Source organism: Homo sapiens, chromosome 5 (assembly GCF_000001405.40).
Source record: "Homo sapiens chromosome 5, GRCh38.p14 Primary Assembly".
NCBI lineage: Eukaryota > Metazoa > Chordata > Mammalia > Primates > Hominidae > Homo > Homo sapiens.
Genome location: NC_000005.10, coordinates 139801361 through 139819787, shown reverse-complemented (window position 1 = coordinate 139819787; position 18427 = coordinate 139801361). Strand labels below are relative to the sequence as shown.

The 18427-nt window shown below is 54.0% G+C and overlaps 1 protein-coding gene across 4 annotated transcripts in view, besides 1 other annotated feature; it reads right to left on the bottom strand.

The window, feature by feature from the left end:
• PSD2 (pleckstrin and Sec7 domain containing 2) overlaps positions 1-18427 on the bottom strand; it is a 101992-nt gene that overhangs the window by 24679 nt on the left and 58886 nt on the right. For all 4 annotated transcript variants that reach the window (XM_047417829.1, XM_017009976.2, XM_017009977.2 and 1 more), the window contains 4 exons: positions 9977-10397; positions 6030-6479; positions 5424-5618; positions 2227-2307 (listed from right to left, as the gene is read on the bottom strand). In XM_047417829.1, the coding sequence (XP_047273785.1) occupies positions 2227-2307; positions 5424-5618; positions 6030-6479; positions 9977-10347 (1097 nt within the window). In that variant the 5' untranslated portion in view covers positions 10348-10397. The remainder of the gene's footprint in view (positions 1-2226; positions 2308-5423; positions 5619-6029; positions 6480-9976; positions 10398-18427) is intronic.
• Positions 4727-5228: an enhancer, noted in NCBI's record as "H3K4me1 hESC enhancer chr5:139194145-139194646 (GRCh37/hg19 assembly coordinates)". NCBI's record gives its function as "activates a minimal SCP1, AML or CMV promoter by ChIP-STARR-seq in primed H9 embryonic stem cells {active_cell/tissue: H9 hESC(primed)}" and the evidence as "EXISTENCE:reporter gene assay evidence [ECO:0000049][PMID:30033119]".

Here is an 18427-nt window from a genome sequence, read left to right as displayed (position 1 = left end):
TCTTTACAACTCAGCTCAGGATACAGTAGCCTGCAGCACACCAACACTTCCACTGAAAACAATAAAAACCATGGGTTTTCTTAAGATATTGGAAAATTGCTGAGGCAACAAAGACAAAAAGGGCCAAGATTCTGGAGAGGAGAGAACTGCGGGAAGGTAGTTTGACCTTCTGCAGCTGCTTTTTCCCTGGGGGCATTGCTGATTATGGGCACAGGCAAGAGGCAGGGCATTGGGTGGCTTCAAGAGGCTGGAGACTTCAGGGGCTGTAAACACATGGCCACTTTTCCCTTTGAGATAGTTGCTGAATTTCAGAGATATAAAAGATGTAAAAGGCAGGAGGCTAAAAGGCTAAGCAGAAAACCTCTGAGAAGTAGAGGGATATTTTGTTGAAGAGGGGGCAGTGTTGCTGCACTGAGAAGACAAAACTAGGCTTCTGAGCCAACAAGGGGGTTTGCCCAACTGAACACATGAGGCTCCCAGTAGAAAACTCCGAGGGCCTGGACCCTATTATCAGAGCAAACCCTGAGCCATACCAAACTTCAGTGCAACCTTAATTGGATTAGCACTGCATCCCCACAAACCTTCTAACTGCCTAGCAAAGGACAACGTAAACCCTCTCTGGAGGAACACAGAATAATCTAGAACCACTACAATTCTATACAAAGTATACAGCATCCAATTTTTTTAAGTTATTAAGCATGCAAAGAGACAGGATATATGATGGAAAACCAAGAGAAAAAAGAGACAATAGAAACAGATACAGATGATTCAGATGATAGATACTGGAGTTAGCAGCAAGGGCTTTACAACTAATATGTTCAAAAAAAGAGAGGGAAAGGTGGAGAAAATAATGGAAAAGATGGATAATTCACCCAGAGAATTAGAATCTATTTTTTAAATTTTTTAATAAAATGGAAATTCTAGAAATGGAAAATATAACATAAATTCAAAACTCAATAAATGAGTTCAAAACCCATTTATGCCTATGGTTCCATTATTGGAACGCTAAGCATGTGGGAGTTATTTATATCCTACTGCTCAAGGTGATCGCCAAGGTCTGATTTTGCAATTCAGAAAATTGCAACCTCAGGCATAAATGGGTTAATGACATATTACAAACAGAAAAGGGTAAGTGAAGTGAAGTGAAAACAGGTCAACCGAAAATATCCCAACAGAAGCAGAGAAAAAAGAATGGAAATTACTTTTTTTGTATGTGGTTTTTGTTTGTTTGTTTGTTTCTTTGAGATAGGGTTTCACTCTGTCACCCAGGCTGGAGTGCAGTGGTGCAGTCATGGCTTACTGTAGCCTCAACCTCCCAGGCTCAGGTGATCCTCCAACCTAAGCCTCCTGAGGAACTGGGACTACAGGCCTGCACCACCATACCTGGCTAATTTTTCTACTTTTTTGTAGAGACTGGGCCTCCCTATGTTGCCCAGGCTGGTCTGGAACTCCTGGCCTCAGGTAATCTTCCAGCCTCGGCCTCCCAAAGTGCTGGGATTACAGGTATGAGCCACTGTGCCTGACCAGAAATTACATTTTTTTAAAGTGTAAGAGACATGTGGAACACAGTCAAGATGTCTAACGTGCATGAGTCACCCTACCCCTTAGCTCTGAGATGCATCCATCTCTCCTAGGACCTGGCCAGTATCTGCCCAGCTGGCCCCTGCCACCAGAGCCTGCTAGATACTACAGGGCTGCACCCATCCATTCTACCCTCCTGCTCCTGGGAACCTGCAATTGGCCCTCCTGAGGTCTACTCCCTAGGTCCAAACACCAATAGAGTTGAGATAAAATCCCATTTTACCATCTCCTCCTTCGATGACTGTGGGGAAGTCTCTTTATCCCTCTGGCCCATAGTTTCTTCATGTGAAAAATAGGAATGATAGTGCCTACCTTACTGGGTACAGAGGATGCAGTAAGCAAGGTGAGTAAAGACCTAGAGCATCTGGCAGGCAGGAAGTGCTCAATACAGGCAAGTCCTGAGCCTCCCTTCCTCTCCTAGAGTCACAATTACATTTCCACCCTCACATCCTAACAGCTACTACAAAGTGGGCACTCGCCTAACTGTTGGGCCGCTGCTGCTCCTGTGGCCCCTTCCCCACAGCCTCACCAGGGGTCAAAAGACTTGCCCAAGGTTGTACAGCAAGTTTATGGTAGAGTTGACATGAGAATCCAGAAGTGCAGCCTGTACCACTTGTGGGCACTGCCTGTCCCAGCCCCACTGACCTGAGTGCTCCGTCCAGAGTCAAGCCCGAGAAGTCGAAGAAACTGAGGTACTCCCCGGCCACCAGCCTGCTAAACTCGTTGCTGCCAGGAGAGTATGGGATGTCTGTTAGAAGCAGGGTCCAGCCCAAGGATGACAGAATCACAGGCATTACTTGGGCCCAGGGTACCCGGACCCACCCACCCCCTAGACCTGCTCAACCCCTAGGCTGCTGGCTAGTTGGGCCATAACATTCAACCTTGGTCTTGGGGTGTCAGGAAGGCTTTCTGGAGGAGGTGATGTCTCAGTCAACACAGGGAATTACGAGCTAACCAGGCGAAGGGAGTAGGGGTGGGATGATGCAGTGTCCCCAGGGAGGAAACTGCATGGCATGTCCAAGAAGCTACTAGCAGGGCCATGTGGCCAGAACCTAAAGAGCAAGAATGGGGCAGCAAGTGATGAGGCCGGGACCAGGGGAAGGACCAGGACTTGATTCAGAAAGGTTAAAGCAGGGATGGTCAGTCTGTATTTTGGAATGCGCTACCTGCTGAGTGGAGACCCACAGGGGGACTGCCATAGTTGTCCAGATAGAGATAGAAGGGATGGGGAAAAGAGAAATTTAGGGGGCAGAATCCACAAGACAAGGAGATGGAATGGACGTGCGGCATGACCAAGAAGGTGGTCCCCTGCGGGAGATGTGAGACTTCAGGACGAGGCATCCGTGTGAGAGTCATCAATTCACAGCTGGTCAGTAACAGCTCAGGGTGGGGCTGAGCCCATGCAACAGGAGAGGGCACAGACAAGCTGGCCGGCCCAGAGCCCCGAATCGGGGTGGGAACCCAGGAGCGAGCCAGCGAAGGAGGCTGAGAAGCAGCAGCCAGAGGTGGGGTGTGTTGTCCTGCAGGCCAACGAAGACTGTATTTCAAGAAGACTGGCATGAGGAATTCTTGTCAAAAACTAGAACAAATTTCCACCTGATTCTAATTAAGCCTGGAGCTCGCTGCCCATTTGCAGGACTCATGGGAAATAGAGAAACATGTTAAATAACACCATCAGGATACCATATCCAAACCGTGGAACATTCTTTAGGACAAATGGCTTGGTTTCTTCAACAAATACACGGCACTTAAGAAGGGAGGAGGACCGCCAAACTGCAGAACTGTTGTTGGTTAAAAGAGACTTAACAGACCAATCGGCCAAGTGCAATGTGTGGACCCTGTTTGAATCTTGATTTCAATAAACCAACATTTTTTAGACAATCAGAGAAAATTAAACACAGACTGAATGTTGGAGAGATTAAGAACTTTTTGTTCATTTTGTTAGAAATTATAATAGAATCATGATTATGTAAAAAAAGATCCTTATCAGTTGGAGATACATACTAAAGTATTTATAAATCAAATGATAGAGTGTCTGAAATATGCGTTACAATCTTCCAGCACATGAAAAAAAGGCTGTGGGTCATAGATGAAATGAGAATGAAGCAAATAGTAACTTTGAAACTCAGTAATGGGCATATAGAGGTTTGATATTTTTTTCCTCTGCTTTCGTGTTTGTTTGAAATTTTCTTTTTTTTTTTTTTTTTTTTTAATATATGGAGTGTTGCTCTGTTGCCCAGGCTGGAGTGCAGTGGCACGGTCTTGGCTCACTGCAACCTCCGCCTCCCAGGATCAAGCGATTCTCCTGCCTCAGCCTCCCGAGTAGCTGGGATTACAGGCAACCACCACAGCGCCCAGCTAATTTTTGTATTTTTGTTAGAGACAGGGTTTCCCCATATTGGCCAGGCTGGTCTCAAACTCCTGACCTCAGGTGATCCGCCCACCTCGGCCTCCCAAAGTGCTGGGATTACAGGCATGAGCCACTATGCCCGGCCTGAAATTTTCATAATAAAAAGTTTAATTAAAGAAAAAGAAAGAAATGGCCAGTCTCGTGGAAGCTGCTGAAGGGGCTAAGGTGAGGCCTGGGGAGCAACCACCAGATTCAAAGACACAAGGCCACCAATGACCTTGACACAAGAGGTTTCTGAAGTTGGTGTGGGGAGAGGAAACCAGTGTGGAGGGGCTGAGTGTGGAGAAAGAAAGGGGATAGAGGCCACCCTGGGCAGAAAATCCAAGAATTTTGGCTAGAGGAGGAAGTGGGGTTGAGAAACACTTTTTGTTTTTCAGATGGGAGAGACTTGAGGACAATTAGCTGCTGGAGGGAGTGGTTGAAAAGATGGGAGAGGGCAGGGGCAGGCCACAAAGAAGGCTCCTGAAAGGATGGCGTTAGGTTTGGGGGTCCAGCCTAGCAGAACAGGTGAGGGCATCCGAGTTGTGATTTCTGGGCTGGCGCAGTTGTTGGGGACCTGGTGCAGGAGCAGCGTGGAGACTGAGGAGGGTGGAGGGAGAAGTGGAGGGAGGGAGAAGAAGTGAGAGAAGAGGAGGATCCAGGACCTGAGCCGCCCTCAGGGCATCCTGAGGCCTAGCCTGCATGTCATCTCCCACTCATGGACAAGGGTCTGGACTGTCTCCCAGCCCTGTGAGCAGTGCTGCAGGGCCAGGCCTGCTCCTGCACAGCTCAGAGCCTTAATGCGGACGTTGGGAGGCAATCTGGATGAAAGGGCCAGGGGCAGGTGGTGGGTGGTCACACTGGTGGTCAGATGTGAGCAGAATGTGCCGGCAGACTTCCTCGGTCCTGCAATCCCGCCTGTCCCCTGGTCCCCTTTGGGGCCCTCATCTAGCCAGTTCCCTTTGCACCTGGTCTGAAGGCCAGGGTGTGTGCTTTGGGGGCTTCAGCCCCTTCAGCTTGTCCCAATAGATAGTAGGGCTTAATGAAGGCCAGGAGCCCTTTCCTGAGCTCTGGGTCCCAGAGGTGTCCCCCGAGGCCCGGGTTCTCCTTTCTCCCTGGCCCCATTAGCTGGGCCCAGCTCCTGCTGGCTTCTCTGTCCTCACATCCATCGTGGCCCCATAACCACATCCCACATCCCGCACCCCCAGCCCTGAGGGGCTGCCCGCCACCACCCCTCCCCGAGAGCATCAGCTTCGCCCAAGCAGCCCAGAAAGGAAACAGATTTAGGGCGAGGCCAGGAATGAGGACAGTGGCGGGAGGAGGTGTCCTTGGGGAACTGTTGGGAGTGCCCCCCCAGCACCTGGCACCCCTGAAGAAGGTCACCCACACCCTCTTCAGGTTGAGGAAGACACGAGGTTTGCCCAGGGTTGGGGGCAGGGGAGCTCACACTCACTTCTTGCCCAGCTGCCGGGCCACATCACAGCGCTGGAAGCCCTCGAGGTGGTAGAGACGGCGTGCCAGCCGATGAGCAGCTTCACTGACCCCCTGGCACCCGTTGGCCAGAGGGTCTGCACTACCAGGCTCCAACCCCTCCGAGCTGCTGAGCTCAGAGTCTGAGTCTGACAGGCCATCCTTCAGGCTGGGGTCACTGCAGATGGAAGGTGGGTGGAAGAGTAGCGTCAGAGGCCCAGGGTCAAAGGCCCCAGAGGAGGCTGGGAGGTTTCCCCAGGCCACTGCAAACCATGTAGGGGCCAGAACAGGGAAAGAAGCTCCACTGCAGCCGGAGGGAATGAAATCAGACTTTCAGAAGAACCTCTCAAGTGAACTCACAGCATAGTTCCCTGACTCCCCCGACTTCTACCGGGGCTGAGAAGGCCTGGAAGAGCAGAATGAAACCTCAGGACACAGGGTGGGAAGCCTGGATGCAGAGGGTAGACCAGGTGACCTTGAAGAGGGCATGCTGACTCTGGACACTGAGTCACCCTAACCTGCTTTGCCCCCTCTGGGTCTCAGTTTCCCCATCTGCTCGGTGGTTCTCCCAGCCTGGGCCCTGCCTCACCTGGCTGAGTTCAGCAACTTGTCCGTGTCCTCCTCATCATCATCCTCATCCCCCCCTGGGCCCTGAGGGCCATCTTCATGGAATCCATTGGGCATGGCCATGAGAGACAGGCGGCTCAGGACATTCTCAGAGCGGCTGCTGGAGATGGAGCGCCGCAGGGGGCTGCCCAGCTCCCCATCACCACCAGCTGCCCCCATGTCCCCCTCAAACGCCATGTCCCCAATGCCCAACCCAGCCCCTGGCTCAGGGCTGTCACGGGCCCGCTGCTGGATGAGGGGTGTGAGGGGGGCCTCGAAGCTGACGCAGCTGTCGCTCTCATCCGTGAGGCTCAGCCCGTCTAGGGAGTCGAGGCTGCTGTACTGGGTGCCCCGCAGCAGCTCTGACTCCAGAATCTTCTCAAACGTGGCGCTGAAGCCATCCCGCACATCTGGCTCCCCGGGACCATCCAACCTGTGGGATGCAAGGAGCCAGTCACCATCCTGCCAAGCTGTCCCCCATACAGGTGCTGGTGACTACACTCATCTGTGTCTGGGAGCCCCCTGGGGGCACACCACTCCCCCATCCTATTCACTTATCCCTTCAGCCAATACTAACTGAGCACAAGGTGCCAGACACCAGGCTGGGTACTGGGAATACTGCAGGGAAAAGAGCAGACCTGGGGCCGGGGCCCCCAGCCTCGCCATCTCAAGTAAAGATGCCACCTCAATATGGTGTGCTCTAAGAAGCCCCAGTCCCCTGCCCCTGCCCCGCTGCCAGCTATGGGGCTGCCCTAGGCCCTGCTTGGATGGAAACACTCTTATGGCCATGGAACACCCAGTGCCACAGACACCTAACCCCACATACTCACACTCCTGCCCACGGAGAACTAGTGGGCATCAGATATGTGTCTAAATGAATGAATGTAAGGCCTCGTCCCCCAGCCCGGCCTAGAGGGCTGCTTCCTCCAGGCTCCCAAAGCAGTGTGAACATCTTATCACAACCAGTGTCACACTGGGTCATAATTTTGCTCTTCCCACAACCTGGGAGGTTCTTAGCTCGGCCAAACGCACCTCAGCTGTCAGGTCTGGCCTCATTGCCACCTCCTCAGAGAGAGCAGGGGAGGCAGGCCCACAGCACACTGGCCTCCTGCTCCGGGATCTGTTCATTTACTCCTCAGACCTTCCAGGCATGTAAGATTCTGTCTGTTCCCCTGTTTACTGTATGATCCCCAGCCCCAGAACAAAAGCTTTGCAAAGCCAGGGAGCACCCCGCACATAGTAGGTGCTTGGAACATCTGGCTGAATGATGTGCTGGGTGAATGAACATATGCTTGTCAGCCCCATGGCCCCAACCACGCTTCCCAAGCCCTTGCAGGACCCTGTGCTGTCCCCCAAAAGAGGCCTTTGCACTGGCTGTTCCCTCTGCCCAAAGTGTTCTTCCCCAGCTAAAGCCCTCCTTCCACATCCCCTTCTCAGTGAGGACTGCCCCGACCTCCCGATCTAAACCATGACCTGCCTCCAAACACCCCAGCCCCTTTTTTCCTACTTTTTCTTCCCCAAAGCACTTATCTCCTTCCAACACACTATATAAGTATTTATTGTTTTAATATTTATCGTCGGTCTCCCCACTAGACCGTAAGCTCCATGAGAGCAAGGGGTTTGTATGTTTTGTTCATCTCCAGCACCTGGAAGAGAGCATCGCACATAGATGACCTGAGGAGCCTGGGAAGATTCTTATCCACCAGGGACATGAGCAGGTACACAGGGAAGGAAGGAGAGAGAGACTGAGAGAGTAAGACCACTAGAAGGGGACAAGAAAGAGACAGAGGAAAGGGATACGAGAGGACAACAGAGACAGAAAGTGAGAGAAAGAAAGAGCTAGACAGACGGCCAGGCGCGGTGGCTCACGGCTGTAATCCCAGCACTTTGGGAGGCCGAGACAGGTGGATCACGAGGTCAGGAGATCTAGACCATCCTGGCTAACACGATGAAACCCCATCTCTACTAAAAATACAAAAATTAGCCGGGCGTAGTGGCGGGCACCTGTAGTCCCAGCTACTTGGGAGGCTGAGGCAGAAGAATAGCGTGAACCCGGGAGGTGGAGCTTGCAGTGAGTTGAGATTGTGCCACAGCACTCCAGCCTGGGTAACAGAGTAAGACTCCGTCTCAAATAAAAAAAAAGAGCTAGACAGACAAGGATAGAGATGGAAGATAGAGCCAGCAACAGGAAGAGACACAAGGAAAGAACACAGCAGGCTGAGCCCAGCCCATTTCAGATCAGCTGAGGCCCATGATGTGCAAAGAAGCACTCCCCTCCCTCTGCATCAGCCTCCCCTGAGGCTCTGGCCCCACCCTACGTTCCCCCAGCCCCTGCTGCCTAGCAGAGACTGAGTTGTATTTGGAGGACTGGGAAGTGCCCCTTCCCCTCGAACATCTCCTTGGCCCCCCAGTGCCTAAGATTCTGTCCCAGTGTGCTTCCTGGAGAAGGCACTCCCACTCCAGCCCCAGCAGGACCTGAGACTGCAGCCTCATTAGGCTCTCTCTTGCCAAGGAACAAAGTGGGGAGGGGGACAGAAATCTAAAAGGCACAGAATGCCTGGCAGGGGCTGGGGTGGAAGTTTCCTCTACTGACCTCTGGAAGGAAAGGAGAGGAAAGAAGGTTCGTTGCCCTGGCCACCAGGGCAAATACCCAAAGTCAGCCCAGTAAAGACACCTCTGCCAGGCCTGTGCTGGGCACTAGAGACATCCAAACAAGACAGAGCCCTGCTTGTGGGGAGCTCTCAGCCCAGGGTCAGAGCCACCAATGGACCCCCCATCTCCCACCCCCTCATGCAACTGAGCAAGGCTGAGGGGTGGCCCTGATGGGAGCTTGAAGACCATCAGTCCAATCTGCAAGCCTCCAACTGCCCCCAGCCTCGCCATCCCAAGTAAAGATGCCACCTCAATACGGTGTGCTCTAAGAAGCCCCAGTCCCCTGCCCCTTCCCCACTGCCAGCTATGGGGCTGCCCTAGGCCCTGCCTGGATGGAAACACTCTTAGGGCCATGGCACACCCAGTGCCACAGACACATACTCACATACTCCTGCCCATGGAGACTTAGAGACACTTATCCCTACATAACACGAACATGTGCCCAAATGTGCAGCCACAAATGCCCAGGCCAGGGGCACCAACACCCCCCACCCACAGCCACCAACCCCATGCATACCAACACGTTCACACATCCGTGTGTACACATGACATGCAGGGCAGGCACACACTCATGCCCCCACGCACACTCACACACTACCCGTACACTGCCCTTTCAGGCCAGAGCCTGCAGCTATGCACACTAAGACTTCTAAATGCTTTCTTTTCTCAGTCCACCCTGGTGCCTTCTAGACATTTCTCTGTCCCTTCCCTGCCCTGCTTGTCCAACACACCCCCAAAACTCCAGGTCTCTCCATTGCCTGCTGAGGACAACAGAAATTGGGCTGTAACTCCAGTAAGCAGGACTGAAGTGAGATCCCTGGTAGAACTTCCTGACGATTACTGCAGGTGAGAGTAGCTAGGAGGGATTAAAGCCTAAAGCCGGCTTTCCTGGAGTCAGTTGAAGGATTTGGGAGAGTCTCATTTCCAGGAAGCAGAGAAATGAACCACATGAATTTTCACATTGGGCATTTTAAAAGGACTTGGAAATCGAATGCCCAGCTTGGGATGGAGGGAGGGCAGCACCCCCCACCCCCTGCAATCCACATAGAAGCAGCTCACGATGGCACAACTTTCAGCCCCCCAATCTGCTGGCCTTTGAATTCTCCGTCAAGGCTCTGTCCTTTCAAAACACCCAGAATCTGGGCAAAAGAGGGATATGAAATCCCCATTTTATGTGTGAGAAAAACAAGAACCGGAGAAACTAAGTGGCTAAGCCCAGGCCACACAACAACAGAACAGCCAAATGTGGTGAGCTCCCATCCCAAGACATCCACTCACCCCAGCTGAGGGTCCTCAGCATCTGGGTAGAGGCTCCTGGAAGCATTGTCCCCCTCTGCCAGCACGCCAGCCCTCCAGGGCCTGGACTCCGCTGAATCTTCCAGAATGTTCAAGTCTGGCCCCAGGGCTAGGCCATTGGTGAGAGAGAGGCCAAGGCTGAGGCCATGGAAGGCCACATCTGGGTCCTTCGTGGGTTCCTCAGTGTCCGCTGGGGTGCCCCTTCGCTCGTGCCCTGGGCTGCAGAGGCTGCTGTTCAGGCCCTCACTGGCCATCCCATTCCGGACCCCTGGCTCCTCTTCAGGCTCTGGACCGGGGTCACGGGTGGCATCGCCTTCCTCAGGCACTGCAGATAAGAGCTTGTCCTCCTCCATGGCAGCCACTGCTTCCGCCTGTCCTGGCTGCTCCTGGGACTCCTCTAGACCTGGCAGTGGGTGGAGAGAGGAAGAACTGGTCAGACAGGACTGGGGCTGGGGGGCACCTAAAGTCCAGCAGAACCAGTGGCAGAGCAGCCTGCCTGAGAGTGGGAGATGGCCAAGATGACCTCCTCGGGGCCCTTCCAGCTGGAGTGTGGGTTCGGGCCATGCTGCCCTCACTGCCTGCCCAAGCAGCCACCTCACCTCACCCTTGACCCTGGCCAGCCCACTATGCCCCAGTCCCTGCCCTTCGTGTTACCTCTTGTGTCTCTGCTGTGCCCGCCAGAGTTCACCAAAGCCCTCTGAGGAAGATCCAGGTGGGGAGGAAGTGGAGAAGGGTCCAGTAGGGCCCCCTCCCATTCCCGCTGGTGAGTGATGGTGACAAACCACAGGCTGTCAGCAGCCGGTCCCCTAGCCTCTTCCCGTGTTCTTACCCTGGCTCCAGGAGCCAAAGATGAGCGAAACTTACCTTTGTGATTAATGGAGATAACTAGGCTGGGAGGCTATCTTCAAGGAGGAGTTAAGAGAGGAGGCAAGGAAGTCAACAGACGCAGCCTAATTGGAGCAGGGCCCACCCCAGAAGCCAAAGTGAAGCCTGGAGACAGACAGGGATAGCCCAGCGTGGGGCGCTGTCCAGGGTGCTGGGTGGGCGGTGCCACCCGGGAGCCTCTCAGAGAGCCCGGGCTGCCTCCACCACACACAGCGCCCAGAGCCCCAGCTGTCTGGGAGGAAGGAGGAGGCCTGGGGTTCCCCTCCACTCCCGGGCCCCCATCAGAGCTCACCCAGCTGCGAGGAGGGACTCATGAGGAGGCCGCCAAGGGGCACTCTGGGGAGAGCACTGGAAGGGGAGTCAGGCCCTGCTCTGCCCAACTCCCTGCATGACCTCGTGTGAGTCCAGGTCAGGCCTCCTCACTGGCCTGCCCAGGCCAGCCCCACTCCCCTCTGGGTCTGTTTCTCTTCTGTAAAATGAGGAGACCCATTTACCCATCATCTTCACCGCCACTGTTTCAAATGGGTTGGGACCAGCCCACATTTCCCAGAGGCTTCCTGCCCAACCTAATCCCAGATGTAGAGGGCAGATGTAATGTGTAACAGGCTGTGTTCTGGCTCTCCCCTCCTCCCCTGTCTGCCCCTGGCCCCACCTAGGCTAGGCTAACCCCCTCCGCAAGTGGCCTCTGCCAGTGGGGACACAGATCAGCCCCTCCAAATGCCCTGGACAGAAACAGGAATCTGGGCCATTTCTCCCAGTTCTGGCTGGGCCACTTCCTTCCTCCCCTTGTTGGGCCTTGGCTACCACTCTGCTCTGGAGAGGGATGCTGGGGGTTCAAGAGAGGCACTGGCTGCCCTTCTAGGCTACAGCAGAATGAGCTGCAGGGGCAACAACAGGGATATAAGTGAGGCTCAAACTTCCTATACTTGCCTGGTCATAAACACCACCTGAGGGACTTGGTACAATGCAGATTACCAGGCCCTACCCCAGACCTCCCGAACCAGAAGCTACAGGGAAGGGGTATGCTCCTCTGTGATTCTTATAACGAGGCAAGTGTGGGAACACTGGGGTAGGCTCCAGAAGAAAAGTCTCACTTAGAGAACAAGAGCCTGGGGAGGGAGGCGGGTCCACTTCTCAGGAATTCTGGGCCCTTGAGGGAAGCTCAACCACCACTGTCCAGTTAAGATTATTTAACCTGGGTTTTCAAACATGGAGTGGAAAAGAGGAGAGTAGAACAGCAGACCTGGGACGCCGCCCGTTTACACTGACCCTCACCTCCTAGAATTTTGATAACTTCATAAGGGAGACTTTTACTTTAAAAAAAAAGCCCACAGACTTAAACATCTCAAAAGCCAGGCTCTAAAATATCTGGGCCCTGATCCTAGGACATCGGAGACCTCTAGAGGTTGAGCACTGAGTGAGGAATTCTTTCTGGTCTGCCCTAAATCCCTGCTGCTGTAGTTGCTATTTCAATCGGTTCCCTCTGGTTGTATACTCAGAGGAGGAGAAACAAGAAGTCACTTTCTCAACTGAGACTCCTGAGCGGGGGGAGGGGGGGCATTTAGAAAGGAAAAAGAAGTGGGGGCTTTTGGCCTGCTGCCTGAGTTCCAGTCCTCTGACCTGCTTTCTAGCCCAGGGGCCTGGATGAGCATTGGCTCTGGGGCACAGGGTTTCAACCCGATTTCACCAGGATGACTCAAGCTCCCCTACACATACCTAGGGGCTGAGCCCACCATTTTGAGTCAGGGCTCTGCCTAAGCCTTCATGAAACCTGAGGTTTAAGAGTATCAGCAGCTTCACTTGATGCTCAGCCTACACCAGCACCAAAGCTAGAATTGTGGACAGATTGAGGACCTCTTGGGAGCCCCTCCGCCCTACCCCCAAGTTCCAGCAGCTGCCTCAGGCTAGCTCCAGCCCTACCTGCCCTGCTATGTCCTCCTTTAGCTGGGAGCGGGAGCCTGCCAACACCAGGCACTGGGCCACATCCTTTGTTTCTGGGGGTGGGCAGACAAGGGGCAGCATTGAGTTCTACTCTGGGCGGGGGGCCCAGAGTCCCTGCCTGGGCTGCAGACCAGCTGAGCCCAGAAGTAGCTGAGCCAGAACCCCCTCTCTTGCTGAGCCCAAGCAAGGGCTGCATAAAGGGGAGGCTTTAGGGTAGAGGTGTAAAACGATGCCCCACATGCTCACTCTGAACTGCTATGTGTCCTGGGACTCATCATTGCTCCCTCTTGCCTTTGTGAGCCCATCTACAGAGTGGGAGCATCACCTCTGTTCTCCCCCAGGGCCAGTGGGAAACTAAACGTCATGAAAGCTGAGAGAGCTAAGGTCCAAGGAAGGGCAAACTCCCTGCAAGGTTAAGGATGAAAGGCAGCTGTGCTCCACCCTTTCTACCGCCATATTTGACAAATGAGGAAGGCTGAGGCACAGAACCCAGAAAGGCTTTGCCTGAGGCCCCACAGCGTAGCTGTCTCTAGAACCCAGGAGTAGCCTCCCTCTGCAGCTAGATGGGCTGGAGACGCAGAATGAGCCCCCAGTTTCCCAGGACCCCTGCCAAACTCTCCCAGGAGATCAAGGGCCCAAACCCTCAACCAAGAGAGTTGGCCCAAAGCAGTGGCCCTTCCCACCTCCAGCCCTGCTGGCAAGAGCAGGGGAGCGGGTGCAGCTGGGCCACTGGGCACCCATCCCAAGGAGACGCCTGCAAATGACAGGCTGGCATTGGCCAAGATCCCCTGCAGCCTCTCTTGGCCTGATCCAAGCCCCTCTCCAGGCAGGGTCTCCCACTAGCCTCAGCCCTTGGAATGACCTTGGGCTCGGCAGCCTCTTTTCAACACCAGCTAAGGTAGGTCCTATAATGATAGTGGAACCCTGGCTCAGCCAACTGCCAGGGCTGAGTGCAGAGTCAAGCACTTCCTGGGTCTCAGCTCTCCTGAGCAACTCTGTCCCCCTCCTCACTCTCCCTGTGGCAGCTGGAGGGAGTTGCAAAAGCACAATCCTTCCTCCCTCCTCATAATCCTCTAACCATCTCCCCTAGATTAGAATCCAGTCTCCCCAGCATGGCCTGAAAAGGTCCTGCAGGAGCTGGTTCTGCTGCCCTCTACCCCATGTCCCCATGCTCTCCCACATCAGCCACAGTGGCCTTCTTTCCGCTCCCTGAGTTCATTCCCACCTCAGGGCCTTTGCACCAGCTATACCCGTGGCCTAGAATGCTCTTTCCCTAGATCTTTAAAAGAGCTTCTTCTGCCACTCAGGGCTCAACTCCAACACTGCCTCCTGAGAAAGGCCCTCTCTGACCCCTGGCACTGCATCATGGAGTGATGGAGCACCATAGCACTCAGTAGAACTGAAGCTCCCTTTTCTATGTGTTTACTGATTCCCTGCCTATCTCTGTACTAGGATGTAAGTTCAGTGAGGGTGGGGACTATGTCATGTTCACGGCTGTGTCCCCAGAGTCCAGTGCAATGCTTGGCACACAGCAGGCCTTTAGAAGTATTTGTTAGATGAATAACAGGGATTATCATCATGCCTATTTGTGGCAGAGGCTAAGAGAGATTGAGGAACTGCTCGGAGTCACAAAGCTGGAAAGCAGCAAGGCTGAGATTCTGATGGAATGCTAGATTGTCAAAGAAATAATCTTACGGTCCCTTTTATGGTGGGATCCAAGCCAGGGACTGTGGGAAACCCAAGGGCAGGGCTGGAGGTGGGGCCCACCAGGGAGGGCTCCAGAGGCCAGCATGCTCTATAAGACACAGGGGCAAGTGCATGGGTGCAGGACCTGACAGCAGACATACAATACAGGTATGGGTAGGCACATGCACACATGTACACATGCCCAGACACACGCGCACGTGCACACACACATGCGCACACACATGCACAATACACACACACGCACACACTCACACACACACAGAGACACACACATGCACACACGCACGCACACACGCACACATACACACGCACACGTGCAGACACATGCACACACACGTTCACAGACATGCACACACGCACGCACACACACATGCACACAGACACACACACACGCACACACACAGAGGGAACTGGGCAGCCGCTCATGAGGCAATCCCCCTAATTTGCCTGGTAAGGTGGACAAGGCACTGGCAGGCCTATGGGCAAGGTTAAGGGCAGCGAGATCTACATCATCGGGCATCCAGGGTCAAAACCATCCTGGGTATGCAGAAGGGACTGGGATCAGAGAAAATTGTTCTGGAATGTCAGTGTGGTGGCAAGGCTGAGACCACAGCTGACCCAGGGAAGCAAATCTAGGAGCACCAGGACCCTCACGTTTTGCTTCCAGTGGGCTAGGGGAAGTTGGGCACAAAAAAACCCCTCTCTGACCTCATGTCCCCACGTGCACCATTGATACCTAACCAGTTCCAAGTCCTGGACCTCTTTGTGCACTTGATGGAAGATCCTGCCCTGGAAATCTCACAAATGTGTGCAACATTTAGAGTATATCTGGAAAGGCTCAAAGCCCTCTATCCATCCTTGATTCCATACCCTAATCTGGACAGTCTCCAAGGACCTGCCAACCAACATTGGATACTTGGAGAGAGCTCCATGAGGGTTACTTGGCAAAGAAATCTTTCTTGGACCTATTCTCTGCCCCCTGGAAACCCACCCTGAACACCCCCACTGGTTCACTACTCTTCCCCAAAATCCCAACCCAAGATTCCCTAGATCACCCAGATTTTAGCACATGGGCTAGGATCTTCAGACACACAAACACATGTGAACACACATGAACACACAAGACACACACAGACACTTAAAAGAGATGATCAATGCAAACATGTGGCATGTAGGGAGTGTCAAAACAGACCCTGAACAGCGATGCCCACACCGCAATGGGGCCTAGGATGGCCAGGCCTGGAGTGCTCCAGGGCTCCACAGGACCTGCTAGGCCACTGGCAGCATGGGCAGTAGGGTGCTGCCAGGAAGCCCTCAGTTGGGCCCCCCTAACCATGCTCCCTTGTAGCCTCTGCCAACCAAGGGGCCTGGAGTTAAGGATCTTCCCACCTCCAAGAGCTCCAGGCCCCCTCCCTAAGCCCAGGCCAGCCTCCTCCACATCCCAACTGCCCAGGGAGATGCCCAGGATAATTTGGAAGGGACGCCCACCCAGGAGCCTAGGGAACTTCCCGGATTCCACATCCCAAAGTGACCCTAAACCCTCTTAACCCACTTGGTCTTCCCAGCTTGGACCGCCTTGTGCTGCAAGGGCCTCAGACTGGGACAGTCCGGGAGAGTGGGTCAGTGCCCTTTCCTGTGTGCTCAGAAAGACCTGGCTCCAAATCCAAGCTCTGCTAGCCACAAGCTGTGTGACTTCAGGAAAACTGCCTGTCTATCTGAGCTCGGTGTCCTCCTCCATAAATGGGGGGTGCCAAGAGCATTTGTCTTCTCAAGGCACCTGTGAGGACTAAAGGAGATGGCATGTGTTCAGTGCTCAAGGGAGGGCTGCTGCCTCCCAAAACCTTCTGGGGGCTGCAAGGAACCAAGCTGGCTACCCCCAGGGGTGCCATGCCCAGGACAGCAGCACACAGCACAGGCCACTCAGCCAGCACCCATTGGATATGCGTCCTTGGCAGCTGTCAGAGCAAGTTCTGAGGCAGGGGCTTCAGAAGCCCAGCTAGAGGGTAGAGGCAAATCAAAGACTCCCGTGGGGCCAGGAGGGGGGCCAGAGAGGGCATCCCCTCCCTTTCCCAAGGCAGCTGAGGTCCCTACTGTCCTGCCCTCCCAACACCCTCACCCAAGGCCAGGCTCACTCCTATCTTTCCATCTCAGGGCACACAAGTGTAGGGCAAGGGCCAAGAACCTACGCCCTCTTTAAAGATGCCCATCCCTTTCAGGTAATGCCTGTTTGGAGTGATAACCAGCCCCCACCTGCTTTCCTTCTCTCAGTGTGGCCATCAGGGAACCAGCCCTTGCCTTGGGCTCATGTTCTCATGGTCAGGCAGGCAGAAGTCCCCGGGGCTGCATGCACATTTGCATCTTATCCTGCATGTGCTCTGCTGGGATTCTCAGGGGCCCTTGGAGCTTGCTCCACAAAGGTCATTCCTAGACATCTCCCAGCTTGCTTCTCTCCCCAACCCCCCAGCCAATTGGCACCCTCATTTGCTTAGCATTTGCGTACATCTGCATGCTGGTTGAAGAGCCCTTAACACTAATGAAATCCACAAAGTCTGCTGTCAAATTTCAAATCATGTTTACAGCTGGTGACTCTATGCCCAACTGACTTCCCTACGGGGTGAACCCTCAGTTATCAGGAACCACAAAGGACTAAGCTGTCTTGGTCAAGAGAGTTCACAGCCAGACTGACCACTGGGCCACCTTCCTCCAACTTCGGAGGGCACTGGACTCACACTGCTTCAACCCACAGGCTCATGGAGCCCACAGGCTAACATGAGCCTGTGGGTTGAGAGTTGAATCCTGAGAGCTACAATGGACTGACCAAGTGCAAATCCTCCCAACCAGCCCAGCCTCGGATACAACACCTGGGCAGAGGCAGACCTGAGAGAGCTCCACCTCTGAGTAGCTCCCCACAGTCTGCTTCAACAGCCAAGAGACAGAAACCAAGAAGCTTCCTCCTCCCTTCTGTCTGCCCAGTTTTCACACACCCCAAACCCTCTAAGTCCTCACATTCTCTGTCCAGGCCCCCCAACTCCTCTCCTTCTCTGCCTCCCCAACTGTGGCCTTCCTCCCCACCCCCTCCCCAATCTCTGTGTTATGTAGCGTCTCTTCATCTCTCCCCAGGCGAGTCCTCCCTTCCTCTCCCTCCTCTTCCCTGTCCAGTCTTGTCTCCTCTTTAGGACTTCGGCTCAGGGTCTGCAGGTTGTGGCCTCCTTGATGAAAATACAACAGCATGTGGTACGAAGTAAGCAGGTGTGAAAGGGGCTGTGCTGGGCCATTTCACTGTCACCTCCTCTCTTGCCCATGGCCCGCTGAAGGGAAGTCAGGCACTCTAAAGCCTCACCCACCCATCCATGTGCTGTACATGGGGCAGGAGAGAGAGAGGGGACCCAAGAGTGACGCCAACATTTGTGCCCTGAACAACTAGAAGGATGGAGTTGCCGCTCAAGAAGAGAAACTGGGTGGAGCAGGTTTGGGGAGGAAGATCAGGGCAAGTTGAGGGGGGTTGTCTGACAGACAGGAAAGTTGAGATGAAAGTTGAGATGCTGTGTAGGCTACTGGAGTCGGGTGAGAGGTTGAGACTTGGGATTTAAATTTGGGGGCTGGCAGTACATAGGTGATACTTAAAGCCACAAGACTGGATGGGATCTGTATGGAGGAGTGGAGATGGGGGAGAGAGCCTGTGCAGGGCAAGTGCTGGGGCACCCTGATATCAAGAGGTGGGAGGGGGAGAAGAGGAACCAGCAAAGGAGGCTGAGAAGGAGCAACCCACAAGGTAGGAGGAAAACAGAAGAATGGGTGTCCTGGAAGCCAAGGAAGGTATTTCAAGGAAGAGGAAGACTGGATGTGTCAAATGCTGCCAATAAGACTGAGAATTGACCACTGGGTGCAGCGACAGGAACA